Source organism: Homo sapiens, chromosome 8 (genome assembly GCF_000001405.40).
Source record: "Homo sapiens chromosome 8, GRCh38.p14 Primary Assembly".
Classification (NCBI taxonomy): Eukaryota; Metazoa; Chordata; class Mammalia; order Primates; family Hominidae; genus Homo; species Homo sapiens.
In genome coordinates this window covers 70,470,862-70,486,745 of record NC_000008.11, presented here as the reverse complement: position 1 = coordinate 70,486,745, position 15,884 = coordinate 70,470,862, and the positions used below count along the sequence as shown (strand labels likewise).

Sequence of the window (15,884 nt, the reverse complement as noted above, 5' to 3'; positions counted from 1 at the left end):
AATTAGCTCCTGAAGAACATCTTCTTAGGATTTACTTCGTCTTTTTCTCTCTCCCACTTTCAGACTGAATTACATATTCTTGCAAGAGGCTCCCAAAATACCGCAGGCATTCTTCTACTACATTCTATATGACAGCTAAGACTTATCAGTCCTTTACTACGTGCCAGGGAGTGTAGTAGGTGCTTTATATGCATGGCTCTTTTTTTAATTTTTAATTTTTGCGGGTACATAGTAGGTGTAGCTGGTCTTTGTAAGCTCCATGGCCACCTTCCTCAAGAGGTGTTGCTTTCCTCCCTGCCTCAAGAGTACACCTGTGCTTTACAGTACCATGCCTTCCTTGTCACACGACCCTTGCTCTCTGATGCTCACATCAGACTCCCTCCTACAACTGGGTCTTATTCATTTCTCTATCTTCACAGCATCTCAGAGCCTCGTGCATAGTAAGATAAGTGATGAATGAACAAATGGATAATTGGCTATATAGATATATGCTGTCAAATTTGGAAACTTGTTGCATTTGTAATACCCCCATATAGATTCTCTGCCATATAAAGGAGACAATCTATTTCAGTTTTTTCTCTATGCAAAAGAAAAAAAGGATTGAGAAGTAGTATAGTATCTGGAGGCTTCTATAAAAGTATTCGGCTAAAAATACTGGTTCTTATCTTGACTCTGTGTTTCAGTGTCTTAATTCAATTCCCACTGACCTAAGAAAAGCAACATTATTCAAGAAGCATTCTATTGGAAATGTTTCCTGGGAACAGTTTATTTGGTTGATCTTTCAAATACTTTGTCACATGTAATAATATCTGAAGTAAGTGTTAAAATGGTTTTACAGTTTCTGTGTAGGGTGTTCTGTTGACTGGTGTCATCTGTCTGCAGCTTTTTCACAGTGAATGTGTAGCCCTATTATGTCTGTTCAGAGAAAGCTACATAATCACCACTTGGCTTGACCATGGGGTAGCTCTTTGGCACATGGAAAAGATGTACAAGTACAAGGCCACACTACAAGTCTTATCTTTTCTTATTTAGAGATCAGTGAACGCAGAGCTTTTTTTGTTTTTTCCAGGTTGTTTATTCTTTTTAATTATGAATGCACATTTATTTATTCATGAACATTGGGAAAAATGCAAATACATCAGAATCGTTAAAAATCTACAGCTCCTCATTCTTCACTACTAGTTTCTCTTCTCAGAGGTAAACACTTTTTCAAAAATTCGTATTTTAAATTTGGGGGTGGGTAATTCACATGGTGCAAACATCAAAAGCTATGAAAAGGTGAAGTTTCCCTCCCATTTCTCATTGCTCCAAAGCAGGAAATCATTGTGATTAATTTTGTTTGTTTTTCCAGAATGAACACAAAGTTTTATAATATTTGGAAAGGACACTGTTCCTCAGAGTCCACCCTCTAAGCTAAGCATTTGTGATATAAAGTCAGTAGAAAATATATTAACATTTTCCCCCTTTCTAGATGTATTTCTAGAACCAGAGAAAGGAAAGGCACACAGGGGAGTAATAGTCTCATTAAAAGTTTGAATCAACCAAATAAATTTGTTTTCTTCAGAGAATAGTTTATTGCTTCGATTTGTTGACTTGTAAGAGAGATGGAAAAGGAATTGTCCAAAACTTGGGCAACTTTTTTCTAACATACATATAGGAACCTGCCTAACACTTTAGATCTGGCACCTGGTTATACTGAGCAAAAGTAGTGCTTTGGCTTCAGTTCCCATGTTTCTTATAAATCTGAACCACAAACATCTCTGTGTGATGCAACTGTCCTAAGCAAAGGCCAATGGTTTTCCAGGAAATGTCTTCAGCATTGTATGTGTTCAAGAAGCATGTTCTCATCCCTTTCCTGACATAAAATCGTGCTACTTCTCCATGTGAGAAACACACTTGCTAGTGTGGACATTTAAGTCACAAATCTATCAGAGGGGACTTTAAACTTTAGCTTCATTCAGAATGCGTGCCTGAGGCTTAGCGTGACTGGCAACACTTTTGTTTTCAGACTTGCCTGTTATTTTGCTTTGCCTTCATTTTTCCTCCACATTTGTGCTGAAAAGAAAAAAAAATTGCCCAATAAATACAACACTCAAGGAAACAATACGTACATGATATGAACTGTCCAGATTTTTCTCCTAACAATACCTTCTATTTAATCAGAATCTGAAAATCTCCAAGTACTTTGAAGGCTTCCAAAACATTTTCTTCCTATTTTAAATCTCATTAACTAGCTATTTTATCCTCGCAGTGCCCATATAATGAAAGTGGAGAGAACAGGGTATTATACCTGTCTATGCATGAGGCCACAGAAATAGCCTAAGTGCTCAGGGACACACAACAAGCCAGAGATAAAATCTAGGCAAGAATTCTGGGCCCCCGCATCATTATTAGCTCTGCTGAGCCTACTGTGCTTATGGCATTCTTTCCTTTGCCTTTAAATAAGAAGTTCTCCTGCCTACAACAGTACACTGTCCATTTTGTCAATTGAAAAACCAATGTGCAGAGAGGACGAGTGGTCCCCCAGGTCACCTGGACCAAATACAGGAGCTAAAAATAGCACGTGCAATTGGCAGGCCCTGATCCTTCACTCAGCTCCTTTAACCTCACGTTTGGGGTTGCAATATTAGAAGATATTAGAAGTCCATGTATCTCCTGAGTGAAGGCTTTCCTCCAGCTGTGGCCAACCGCGAGCTTATTGCTAGCACTATCCAAGCCAGGTCTCTAGTTTGGCCATCGACAAAGGGCAGGAGGTGGAATCCAGGGCTACTTGGGAATAATGAGGATAATTCAGAGGAAGGTGTTGTGTGTCTGGAAAATACAAATAGGTCAGGGGAGGCCTGGAAAGTTGTGAGGCCTTGGAAAGTTTTCTCAATTTCACATTTCCTTTGCTTATGGGCATACGGCCTTAACAAGGTCCACATTCGCAGTCACTCATGTCCCTGCATGTCCAGGTGAGGAGAGCACATTGAATGAACCAAAACCCTTAGACATCTACTCCTCAGACATTTCGAAGTTAAAAGCCATTAAAATCAAATAGATGGAAAGAAAATCCTCATAGTATAAGGAGCGTTTCCACTATAGAACAGATCCCTGGAGTAGTGAATTTTTCATTTTATCTCCTTTTTATTTTAAGGCACATTTGAGCTCCAGAGACCTTGACAAGTTTCTCACCAATGGTTTCTTCAGTACACGAGAATTTCTTTAATTGAGGAGAAGCAAAAAAGTTGAAAAGAGAGTGAAAGAACAGGATTACAACATTAATTAGAACACAAATGGATGCCATTTTCTATTCAAATTCATAGACTGTCACATAAAATAAGCACCAAGTTTTGTTGGTTATAGTAAACTATTTTTATTATAGAAGTAACAGTTTTTCTAATTATAGAAAAATTAGACATTTCATGTGAACGAAAAAGAAAATTCACTCATAATCACATCACCAGAAGTAATCACTATATAATTTATGTGTGTGTATACATACATTCATTTAAAGTAGAGATCATATGATGCATACCATTTAGCAAACTACTTTTATTATTGTACTATATGGCATAAATATCTTTTATGGGAATAAATATCTACATCATTTATTTTATTTTTTGAGACAGTCTGTCTCTGTCACCCAGGCTGGAGTGCAGTGGCGTGATCTTGGCTCATTGCAACCTCTGCCCCCCGGGTTCAAGCAATTCTCTTGCCTCAGCCTCCTGAGTAGCTGGGATTACGAGCATGTGCTATCATGCCTGGCTAATTTTTGTATTTTTAGTAGAGACGGGGTTTCGCCATGTTGGCCAGGCTGGTCTCAAACTCCTGACCTCAAGTGATCTGCCCGCCTCAGCAGTGCTGGAATTACAGGCGTGAGCCACTGCGCCCAGCCAACATCATCATGTTGGCCAGGCTGGTCTCAAACTCCTGACCTCAACTGATCTGCCCGCCTCGGCAGTGCTAGGATTACAGGCGTGAGCCACTGTGCCCTGCTGACATCATTAATTTTAATAGCTGTATAACATTTAATTGTATGGATATACTTACATTTATTTAATCAACATTATTGTTGGACATTTAGGTTGTGTATGAATTTTTCAATAAGATGGAACAGGTCTAGAATAAACAGGCTTATACAAGTTCTTTACCTACTGGTTGAATTATTTCCTTAATACAAATTCCTAGAAGCAAAGTTTCTGGGTCAAAGAAATGCACATATTTGCAGGCTATTGACTCCTTCAATAACCATTTAAAAATAGTAAGCAAAGGAGGTAGTTTTTGTCTAAAGTAAACCTGAGTAATAGAATATTATATTAGAGGAATAAATTAAAAATCATATCAGAAAATAGTGGGGTTTTTTTTCATAATTATAGGCCAGGCGCGGTGGTTCACACCTGTAATCCTAGCACTTTGGGAGGTTGAGGCATGAGAATTGCTTGAGCCCAGGAGTCCAAGGCCGGCCTAGGCAACATAGTGAGACCCTATTTCTACAAAAAGTAAAAAGATTAGCTGGGCATGGTGGCATGTGCCTGTCGTCCCAGCTACTCAGGAGGCACAGGTGGCAGAATTGCATGAGCCTGGGAGCTCAAAGTTGCAGTGAGCCATGATTGCACCACTGTACTCCAGCCTGGGCAACAGAGAGAAATCCTGTCTCAAAAAAATTAATAAATAGTAAATAAAATAATTATAGCCAGTACCTTCGTAAACTCTCATTTTAGTTCTAAATCTCAGTTTAAGGGTGAAAGAGAGAAGGGTAATGTGGAAGGGATTGAAGGATACACAACAAAAATCTATGCATAAACCAAACAAGGGACAGAGAAAGGGGGACACACAGGGAGAAAACCCTACCGCCTATTTCAGTCCGTAACTCCCTCCCCACATTCCCTTTTGGCTTTTAACCAAAAGTATGGGTTCCCTGACATCTCTAAGTGGACTTAACTCTCAGTGTCCAGGCCCCAAACTAACGAACAAACACAGATCCACCAATCAACATTTCCAGCCATCTCACAGTGAAACTCACCAGGAGAGGGGCCTTTCTTTTTCTTAGTGTCAAACTTTTTAGCACAGTTTTATTGGCTGAATTTTCAATTTCATCTTCAAACATGTAGGAGACAGGGAAAGAAAACATTTTCTACAGTTTCTTAGAGTTATAAAGAGTAAAGCTGCAAAAGCGTGTGATAAATTATGCCTACTTTAAAAATATATTGACTAAAATTTAAGAAACTGAGGTCTGCAGAAAACCCCTCGTAAATGAGACCCAAATGCCTTTTGAATGCTCCAGGATAATCACTACCTTGCATGCTAGACTTTCTTAAGTGTGGTTAACTTTTAAGTAGCCAATTTTCTACTATTTTTCCCATAATGGTTTTTGCCTTGGATAGGAAAATTGAATATAAGGTCAGAGCACTTCGACATTCATTGAACAAATATGTATTTAGGACTTTTAACTTACATTTGTAACAAATGCCGTGAAGAAAACATAAACTGGCTCATGGAAGAGAAAGTGGCTGTTTCTTTTCTTTTCTTTTCTTTTCTTTGGTAGAGACAGGGTCTTGCTCTGTTGTCCAGGCTTGTCTTGAACTCCTGGGCTCAAACGATACTCCCACCTTGGCCTCTCAAAGTGCTGGGATTACAGGTGTGAGGCACCACACCCAGCAGACGGAGTTTTGACGAAGGAATAAGGAGCAGCCCTGGCCACAGCTGGTGGGAAGAAGCCAGCCAGCAAGAGAGAGCATTCCAGGCAAAGGACACAGCCTAGGAAACTCCAGACAATACATCGAGGTAAGTGTGATACATTGTGAATATGGGCTCTGTCGATATAAGAAGAGACAGTCCCTCTGCAACACGGAGCCATATTTGGGGCCTTTATAACTTTAGATAAGCAGGCACAAACAAGCCTCTGACCAAATAAAAACTAACTTGATTAGTTTCTCTTCGTCTTTAAAATATGGCACACTCAAAGTAGTAATCAATTCATTAACACATTTTTTTTTTCATGATGGGGTGAGCACATTGATTCTGCTATGACCATGCTTAAACCTAGTGGAGAAGAAAAATGAATACTGGAAGAATTAAAATGCATTGAAATGATAAACCATGGACGTTAACTGAACATTCAGTGAGAGTTCATAGATCATTTCTGAGAAGGGCAAGTGGTCCAAAATGGGAGGTGGGACTTCATCCATTTCATCAATAAACATTTGCTAAATGTTTATACTAAGGCTAGGTATTGAGACAGACACAAACACAGGATAACTAAAATATGTCTTTGTTGCTGGACATGGTGGCATGTACCTGTAGTCCCAGATACTTGGGAGCTGAGGCAGGAGGACAGCTTGAGCCCAGAACTTCTGGGCTGTAGTGAGCTATGCTCACTGGGTGTCCACACTAAACTGGCATCAATATCATGACCTCCCAGGAGTGAGGCCCACTAGGTTGCCTAAGGAGAGGTGAACTGGCCCAGGTCAGAAATGAAGTAGGTCAAAATTTCTGTGCTAATTAATAGTGGGATCTCACCTATGAATAGCCACTTCACTCCAGCCTGGGAAACTTAGCAAGACCCTATCTCTAAAAGCTAGCTAAACAAATAATATGCCTTTGTCCTTGGAGAGCTCACTGCCTAAAGGAGAGAGACTGAAAATTAAATAAATAATTACAGTTCAACATTATAACACAGATATGTGCAAATGATTGAAGGAACTCTGATACTTACGGGAGCATGAAGGAAGACTGACCCACATCAGAGCAAATAAGAAACGACATTTGTGCCAAAGCTTAAAGAGTGAGTTAGATTTTATTTAGGGTTTAGGTTCTAAATGCTGATGTTGGCCGGGTGCGGTGGCTCACACCTGTAATCCCAGCACTTTGGGAGGCCAAGGCAGGTGGATCACCTGAGGTCAGGAGTTCGAGACCAGGCATGGCCAACATGGTGAAACCCCATCTCTACTAAAAATACAAAAATTAGGCATGACGGCGTGCTCCTGTAGTCCCAGCTACTCGGGAGGCTGAGGCAGGAGAACCACTTAAACCTGGGAGGCAGTGGTTGCAGTGAGCCGAGATCATGCCATTGCACTCCAGCCTGGGCAACAGGAGCAAAACTCCATCTCAAAAAATTAAAAAAATAAAAAATAATAAAATATAAACAAATAAATGCTGATGTTTGAAGTGAACCCTTAAATCACCCATAAAGTACAGCACCTAGGTATTTAGTATCTAGATATTCAGTATCCAGTAAGCCCCACACAGCCAGTTTTCCTCCAGCTTTGGAACAGATTGTTGCTGCTTCTTTGAGCACCAGATGCAGAAGTTGGCTTGTGTTTATTGGCTCTGTTGTATGAAAAACGGTTATCCTTCAACACTGGGATTACACCCTCTGTGGTGAAAGCCTCACACTAACACAGGACGGGCACCGGGGGTCTGAGTGGACTGAGGGAATGGTAGGGTAAAGTCTCGCATCTCACGTTCATTCACAAACATAAACTCATTATGTGAAATGAATGGGCAGGCAGTATTGTCCTCATTCTCCCTGTCTCTTTGAGTGAGAGACAGAGTGAATAGTTGAAATCTCAAAAATTAAACTGACAAATGAGTAGATCTAAGAAAAAAAAATTAAACTCATGTGATGTGGTTGCTTATCCTGTGAAGAAATGAGAGAAGGATATTGTACATAGAGCGACAAGATGTGGGAAGACTTGGAAACCATGGAGGATTTGAACTGCTTGAAGAAAACTAAGAAGTTAAGGATGGTTAAATTATTGGACAAAGAGATAGGTAAAACAGAGTTGGACGGGTTGTCACACCATAGAAAACATGGGACTTGACTATGCAGGCAATGAGAAACCATCTTTTAAGTTAGAGGGTGACTGGATGGGTGTATTTTTGGCAAGACCATTTTTGTAGCATGGTAAAGATGAGGTCCAAAAAATTATTTTCTGTAAAGGGTCAGATCATAAACATTTTAGGCTTTGTGGGTCATATGATCTGTGTCACAACTACTTATTTCTGCCTCGTAGCAGACATGGACAATGTGTAAACAAATGGGCATGGTTGTGTTCCCATAAAACTTTATTGATGAAGACAACCTGTGGGCTTGATTTGGCTCAAAGGGCCAGGGTTTGTTGATTCCTGGATTAGAAAATGATGAGGTTACTTGTGAAGAGATGAAGAGGTAAGTGAGGTAATAGTCTGGGCCAGTGGTTTCAAAGTGTAGTCCCTGGACCAGCAGCATTACCATCACCTGGGAATTCCAGAGGATGGGAGAGGCAGCAATCTGAGGTTCAACACACTCTCCAGATGACGATTTTTTTGGTTTTTGTTTCTGAGACAGGGTCTCACCCTGTTACTCAGGCTGCGGTGCAGTGGCATGATCATAGCTTACTGCAGCCACGAATCCCTGGGCTCGAGTCATCCTCCTGCCCCAGGCTGCCAAGTAGCTGGGACTGCAGGCGGACCACCATACCTGGCTAATCTTTTATTTTTCGTAGAAACAAGGTTTCACTATGTTGCCCAGGCTGGCCTTGAGCAATCCAACCCACTCAGCCTCCCAAAGTGCTGGGACTAAGGTGTGAGCCCCTGCACCCAGATGATGATTCTTATACCTGCTCAAGTTTGAGGACCACTGGTCTAGGAAAGAAGAAAGACAATGCATTTCCACATTTGGGAGGTGACACTAGGAAAGAACAGAATAGGGCAAATTTAAGGCAAGATGGTAATCTCAATTTCTAACACACGTACAATGAACAGGACTTTGATGATTATCTGGGTGGGAGGCTGGGGAGATGAAAAAATATTTAAATTCTATTCAGATATTTTCTACACACCTAGATCTCCCATGCCTAAAATACTGCTAGGTGTAAGGTAAGTGCTCAAAAAACGTTTTTTTGAATGCATCAAGGATGATTCAAAGTTCAGCTTAGGTGACTGAAGAGGTGAGACATGCATGGTATTAGCCAAGCTAGAGGACACACTTTGTTGTTTTTGACAGTTGTGAGGGAAAGAGATAAAGGAACATTTATTGATCAAGTATACCTGCTTTGCCTATGATGTGCCAGGAAGTATTTTACATCCATTATCTATTTGTCCCTCAAAATAACTTTTTAAGTAGTTATTATCATAATTTTACAAATGAAGACAATCACAGTTCCCACAGGGATCAATGGCAAAGAATGAGCCTATCCCTGGCAGTGAGTGACAACTAAACCCAGGCTCGTTGCACTTTGAAGAACAGAGTCCTGTTTTGCCTTCTGGCCAAACTTTGCAGAATATGTTTAAGCTGTCACTATAAAATATTCTGAAACTTTACTGTTTACAAAGCAGCTTCGTAGATTATTTCTTTTGAGGGACATCATTTGGTATAGCAGCAAAAGCATAAATTTCTAGGTTCAAATCCCAGCTTGGTCACTGATGCCATGCCTGGATGAGACCACAGGCCCATGTGTAAAATGGGGGTAATGATAATAACTATGCAAGTGAGATGCTGCTATGCAAGTGAGATGAGATATGTAAAGCACCTGGTGCAAAATGAGAGCTCAGTAAATGGTAGATACTATTATTTCATGATCCTTAATACAGCTTATTATGTACATTTGAGAGATGTCTTAAAAGTACCTCTTAATGAGTTCCATTGCTTTGCTTAAAAGACTTATCTTCTTGTTTAAGGCAAGTTGATGGTTAAACAGATTTTGAATTTGGGTGAGGCGGCTCCATGTAAAGGCTGGCTTTAGTGCACCTCCTTGCTCCTAGTCCTGCCCACAGTGGGCACCCACTCCACTGGTTTCAAGATCCATCCATACAGGTTCTCCTTCTTTAGATGAGTTAAAAAAAAAATCTTTCTTTCCCTTACTTGTCAAGTGAAACAATGGGTGGGGTTGACTATCAGAAAACAAAAGCTAAAGCAGGTAAAGATGTTCTTGAAAGAAATGCTTCCTTGTTTCAAAGGAATTTTACTCTCTGGGATGAAGGCAAAAAAGAAATAATCTGAAAAAGAGCTGGATTTTCTAAAGAAGTAAAACTAATCGCTGGTTCCCTTCCTCTCTTCCATACTTAGAAGGGCCTAAAGGGGTGGTGGCTCTCCACTTTCAGAATCTGAGAGTGTCACTTGTTTGACCTCCTGAAGGACACGTTGTGGACATCACCAGTGCCTTTATGGCAGACAGGTTGGTTTGTGACATTGTGTTTACCAGCTTTTGGGAGAGAACCTTCTTGCTTTCAGGTATGTTTTAGGTGATTAGAGAGCAAGGCTACTACTTTTGCAACATACTAGATAAACAGCAGTTTCCATATTAAGGGGAAATCATATCATACCTGACCATCTTGCCTCCTTGGTTCCACTGGATTAGAAAACAAGCAGAGATAAACACAACTTTGGTGGAGTTGGTTGCACAGCAAGGAAAGGAATAACTAAGCCCTTTAAGATCAATGTAACTGACAGAGTGCATTCTGCAAAAAATAAACACAGCTCTAGGAGAGTTATTGTGAACAATGGTATCTGAAAATGATAGGTGAATAATTTTGATGCACAGATCTTTTTCCCAAGATTGGAAACAAAATCTTCTCCCCTTCTCTCCCATCATTTAACCAAACTTTTGGTCCTCTGATAAAAATCATGCTGTCAAAAATGACTGAACTAATTTGTGACTTTTGACCAAATCAATTTTGATGTAATACAAGATTAAATGAGTGGTTTCTTTTATCCCTCAACCTGAGGTAGAACAAATTGTACTGCTCACGGTGTCCTGCCACACAGGGCTGACTTGACATAAAGCTCAGTATTTTATCACAAGATTTGGAGAATAATTATTAGAGATCCACTTTGCGTGATGTTTATTGGGTTCTTAAAAGATAACTGACCATTTCTTATCACAGAACAGTAGTCTGACATGACATTTGGGATTATTTGAAGGTCTAGTTCAGGACTCTCAGGCCTTCTGTGAGTCTGCCCATTTTTGCTTTGAATTTATTAACTGGGATGACAAGAACCAAGATCTCCCCGCTCATGTTTCTTCCACTCAGTGATAAATTGGAGGGGGAAATCATGCAAGCAATCCTTACAGTGATTTGTACTCATAGCCATTCACACTTACAGCCCTTTGCCAATTACACCCATGTTGTAACTTCTGACACGTAAACAGGCAGTTTCTCACATGAACATATGTTGCTCTCCCCTTTTGAGAAAATGAATCCCAACCTTAACCACACTAGTGGGCTGTGATTAGTTCTAATCCCTAGGTTTTACAACAGGAAAATTGACTATCAGAGAACGAGGGAATGGCAAGTAATCACTCCTGAGTTCACTTTTTTTCTTTTCCAGAACGGCATCACATAACTGCCCCAAACTTTCCTTCAATATACTCGTCAAAATGTCCTCAAGGAAATCATCCTGAAATCCATAAAATGAATAAGCCTGCCCATTGGAGTTGTTTTGCTTCAGTGTAATAGTTGGCAGGAAGATGTGGTCAAACAGACTGCACCATATTAAATGGATTTTATGTTTATTGACTACTTGTAGCACTACTTAATTGATTTATGTGTGTGTGTTAGAAAGCTTTATGCTATGAAACTAAAATATATCATTTATAGTTTATTAAGTCCTGCATTTAGTAAAAGTTGGCATAAGGCCCTAGGTCAGGAACTTTACCCTTCTGTTACAGCAGTGTTTCTGGGAGAAAATAATAGTTGATACACTTTATTTCCACGTATAGTAAATTGCCTAGGAATATAATCCACATGGAAAGGTGGCTTGTTTTTGTTTTTCTTAGGGTCTTGCCCTGTTGTCCAAGCTGGAGTATAGTGGCGTGATCTTGGCTCACTGCAACCTTCGCCTCCTGGGTTCAAGCCATCCTCTTGCCTGAGCCTCTAGAATAGCTGGGAATACAGTCACTCATCACCATGCCCAAATAAATAATTTTTTTTTGTATTTTTTGTTGATACTGGGTTTTGTCATATTGCTCAGGTTAGTCTTAAACTCCTGAGCTCAAGCAATCCTCCCACCTCAGCCTCCCAAAGTGCTGGAATTACAGGTGTGAGCCACTGTGTCTGGCTTGTGTTTCTCAAGTGCTACTCACTGTCATATTACCACTGTGTTTGAATGAGCATTCTTTTGTGATTCTGAGTTGAAATAATAAATTAGAGAAAATGGTAAACGAAGTATAACTTAGTACCTAAGGTTTTTATTCTACTAGTTTTTAGAACTGGCAGGAGAGGCCTAAGACAAAATAAAAAAGATATTATGATAATGCTAAGATCTTGCAAACTGTAATATAATAATGCTCAGATTTTGAAAATTATATTAAATATATATATATATACATATGTACTATGTATGAAAATCAGGCCGAGCGCAGTGGCTTATGCCTGTAATCCCAGCCCTTTGGGAAGCCAAGGCGGGCAGATCACTTGAGGTCTGGAGTTCGAGACCAGCCTGGCCAACATGGCGAAAACCTGTTTCTACTAAAAATACAAAAAAAAAAAAATTAGCTGGGTGTGGTGGCACATGCCTGTACTCCCAGCTACAGGAAGCTGAGGCAGGAAAATGGCTTGAACCCAGGAGACAGAGGTTGCAGTGAGCCGAGATCGTGCCACTCTGCACTGCAGGCTAGGCAAAAGAGCGAGACTCTGTCTTAAAAAAAAAAACAAAAACAAAAACAAAAGATTAATTAAAATTATAGTAAGTTTTAATATAATTACCACTGCTGCATGTTGGTACTCATAGATGGATAACCAACATTAGGAACCTGAGCCTGGCTGGGTGTGGTGGCTCATACCTGTAATCCCAACACTTTGAGAGGCTGAGGTGAGAGGATTGCTTGCAGCCAGGAGTCTGAGACCAACCTGGGCCACACAGTAAGACACCACACCTCTACAAAAAAATTAAAAAATTAGTTGGGCATGGTGGCACATGCACATAGACCCAGCTACTCAGGAGGCTGAGGTGGGAGGATCGCTTCAGCCCAGAAGCTCAAGGCTACAGTGAGCTGTGATCACACCACTCACTCTACCCTGGGTGACAGAGTGAGACCCTGTCTCAAAAAAAAGAACAAACAAAAAGCAAAACCAAAACACAAAAACCTCCCTGAACCTGGTCTTCAGTCACCAAGGTGCTACATAAAGGGTACCAATAATACTTAGAGTAATCAAAATCATAGAGACAGAAAGTAGAATGATGGTCGTCTGGGGCTGGGGGGAGAAGGGAATGGGGAGTTAGTGTTTAATGGATGTACAGTTTCAGTTTTGCAATGTTAAAAAAAAACTTTAGACAATTTAACAGAGTTTAATTCAGCAAAGAACAATTCAAGAACCATGCAGACTCCCCGACCTCCTTGAATAAGTTAAGAGCAACTCTGGCACTGCCTCGCAGTCAGAGAGGATTTTTCACAGAAAAATGCAAGTGACATACAGAAAACACACGTGAGGTACAGAAACAGCCTGATTGGTTACAGCTGGGTGTTGAACACATTCGATCAGTTGGCTACCTGTGATTGGCCAAAACTGGATGATTGGCACAAGAGTAGGTTACAGTCTGTTTACACCTCCAGTCAGGTTACAGTTCACTGTGTATGGAGAAACATTTAGACCAAACTTAAAATATGTAAGGAGGCAGCTTTAGGCAAAACTTAATTTAACAATTGCCCCCTTTTGGTCAACCTCTCAGTTTTGATTGGCCAAAACTTTAGACATTGATGTCACTCTGTCACCATTGTCAGTGTACTTATTTGGTCTCAAATCTCAGTGGGAAATAGCAAAACAGTGAGTTTTTAAATGTGAGAACCAGGACTTCAGGTTTGTTTTTTTTTTGTTTTGTTTTGTTTTTTTTGGTAAGGGTTAGAACAGAAGGGACCTCTTTATGCTGGAATCTCCTGTTTTCAGGTGAGAAAAAAAAACTGGTCTGTTTTTGTTGTAACCAAGAAAATGCTGAATCAGGAAAGTAGTAATCTAAAAATGGCAGCAAAGCTTTGCAGCTTCCTTAGTTTCATTTTGATTATGTCTCATTTAGCATGAGTGACTCCATTTTGATTTGGTCTGGTCTGTTGGGGCCTAGTGCAGAAAGAGGTCTGATCTGATTTGGCCTAGGTCCAAAACAATGGCCTCTCATAATTTTAACAGCAAGATGAAAAGAATTACAGAAGTGGGTGGCGGTGCTGGTTGCACAACATTTTAAGTGTATTTAATACCTCTGAACTGTATACTTAAAAGTGATTAGGATGGTAAATTTTATGTTATGTGTATTTTACCACAATTTAAAAAGTAAACCCAGTAGCAGCGGCTCCTGCCTATAATCCCAGCAACTTCAGGCGCTGAGACAGGAGAATTACTTGAGCCCAGAAGTTCGAGATTGCAGTGAGCTATGATCACACCACTGTACTCCAGCCTGGGTGACAGAGCCAGACCCCAGTTCACAAAAAATAAATAATTAAAAATTAAAAAAAAAAAAGAGGTGCCATTACCTCTAACTGTGGCGTCTCTTGAGCGTGATTTTGAGAGGAAGCCAGTGAGACCAAGAACCCACCAATTCCGGACACAATTTCAGGCCTCACTCTAGCCAGAGTTGCCGGGCTCTTGGGTATGGGCAGGTCCTGTTTTTCCTGCTTCTGCAGCACCAGGGCAATCTACTTGATATGGGAAAAGCTCCCTTGTCCCCCTCGCAGGGTGTGTGATGAGGTGTGGCTCGATTCTTCAGTGCCCTGCTGCTCAGACCTCTAGGGGAGCATACAGGCGGGCAGGCTGTGGGGCTCCGATCGCACAGCAGTGTCTAGGGGTGAATATTTACAGCTCCTGAAGCCCCAGTGGGCGGGCGTGTGTTACAGGATGCTCTTTTAGGTTGCCATCTATAGGCGGTTTGTGTTAGCTCAATTACACCCCCTTTCTTATCACAAGGACAGAAGGATTTCTGTATCCTGGGGTTTCTTGCCCTGGCTTACCTGAAGAATCGGATTACACGTGGGCTTGGAGAATGAGTGCAAGGTTTTATTGAGTAGAAGTAGCTCTCAGCAGATGGGGGAGCCAGAAGGGAGATGGTTTTCCCCTGGAGTCGGGCCCCTTGGCGGCCCAGGCTCTTCTCTGACTGCCCCGTCAAACTCCGCATCATTCTGCTGGTGCATGGCCTGCCGGTGGTGTGTCGGTGCCTGTCGTTGTGTGCTCTTCTGCTGGCATGCTCCTCTCAACGTCCTCTCGAGGACCAGCCACTTGCGTCTTCTTCTGCTAATGTGCTCCTCTCCATGTCTGGCTGGCTGTGTGTCTGCCCACTAGGGTCTTGGGAGGTTTTGTTTTGTTGTTGTTGTTGTTGTTGTTGTTGTTTTTGAAGGAGTCTCTGTCGCCAGGCTAGAGTGCAGTGGCGCAATCTCTGCTTACCGCAACCTCCACCTCCCGGATTGAAGCGATTCTCCTACCTCAGCCTCCCGAGCAGCTGGGACTACAGGCGCGCACGCCATCACGCCCAGCTAATTTTTGTATTTTCAGTAGAGTCAGGGTTTCGCCATGTTAGCAAGGCTGGTCTCGACTTCTTGACCTCGTGATCTGCCCGCCTCGGCCTCCCAAAGTGCTGGGATTACAGGCATGAGCCACCGTGCCCGCAGTCTTGGGTTTTCGTAGGTTCAGGATCGGCGTATGGCGGGCCAGGGAGGTCTTAGAAAATGCAACATTTGAGCGGGAAAGCAGGAATGGGGTTCGTCGGGGAGGAGCCTTAGCCAGGGACCCGCCTTTCTCTACCCAGCACTTCCCTTCCTCCATTCCGCATCATTTAAAGGGACCACGCTTTTCCCTTCCCAGCACTCCATATCATACTGACCTCACTCCTCCAGTCCTGTGAGCAGGACCCAACAAATAAGTAGTATGAGAAATAAAGCTTAGCATCTCTATTTGAAAACACAGGAAAAATTGGGGGCAAAAGTTGTGTTCCATATTGG

The 15,884-nt window shown here is 41.4% G+C and overlaps 1 long non-coding RNA gene and 1 pseudogene across 1 annotated transcript; one reads left to right on the top strand and one right to left on the bottom strand.

Annotated features, from left to right (window-relative positions):
• Nucleotides 1–1,058: 1,058 nt before the first annotated feature.
• On the bottom strand, nt 1,059–15,612 carry LINC03020 (long intergenic non-protein coding RNA 3020). The gene is made up of 4 exons (NR_110653.1): nt 14,901–15,612; nt 8,583–8,653; nt 5,438–6,024; nt 1,059–2,055 (listed from the first exon to the last, which is right to left on the bottom strand). It is a non-coding gene; the product is annotated as a long intergenic non-protein coding RNA 3020 (long non-coding RNA).
• RN7SL203P (RNA, 7SL, cytoplasmic 203, pseudogene) lies at nt 6,259–6,554 on the top strand (annotated as a pseudogene).
• Nucleotides 15,613–15,884: the final 272 nt, after the last annotated feature.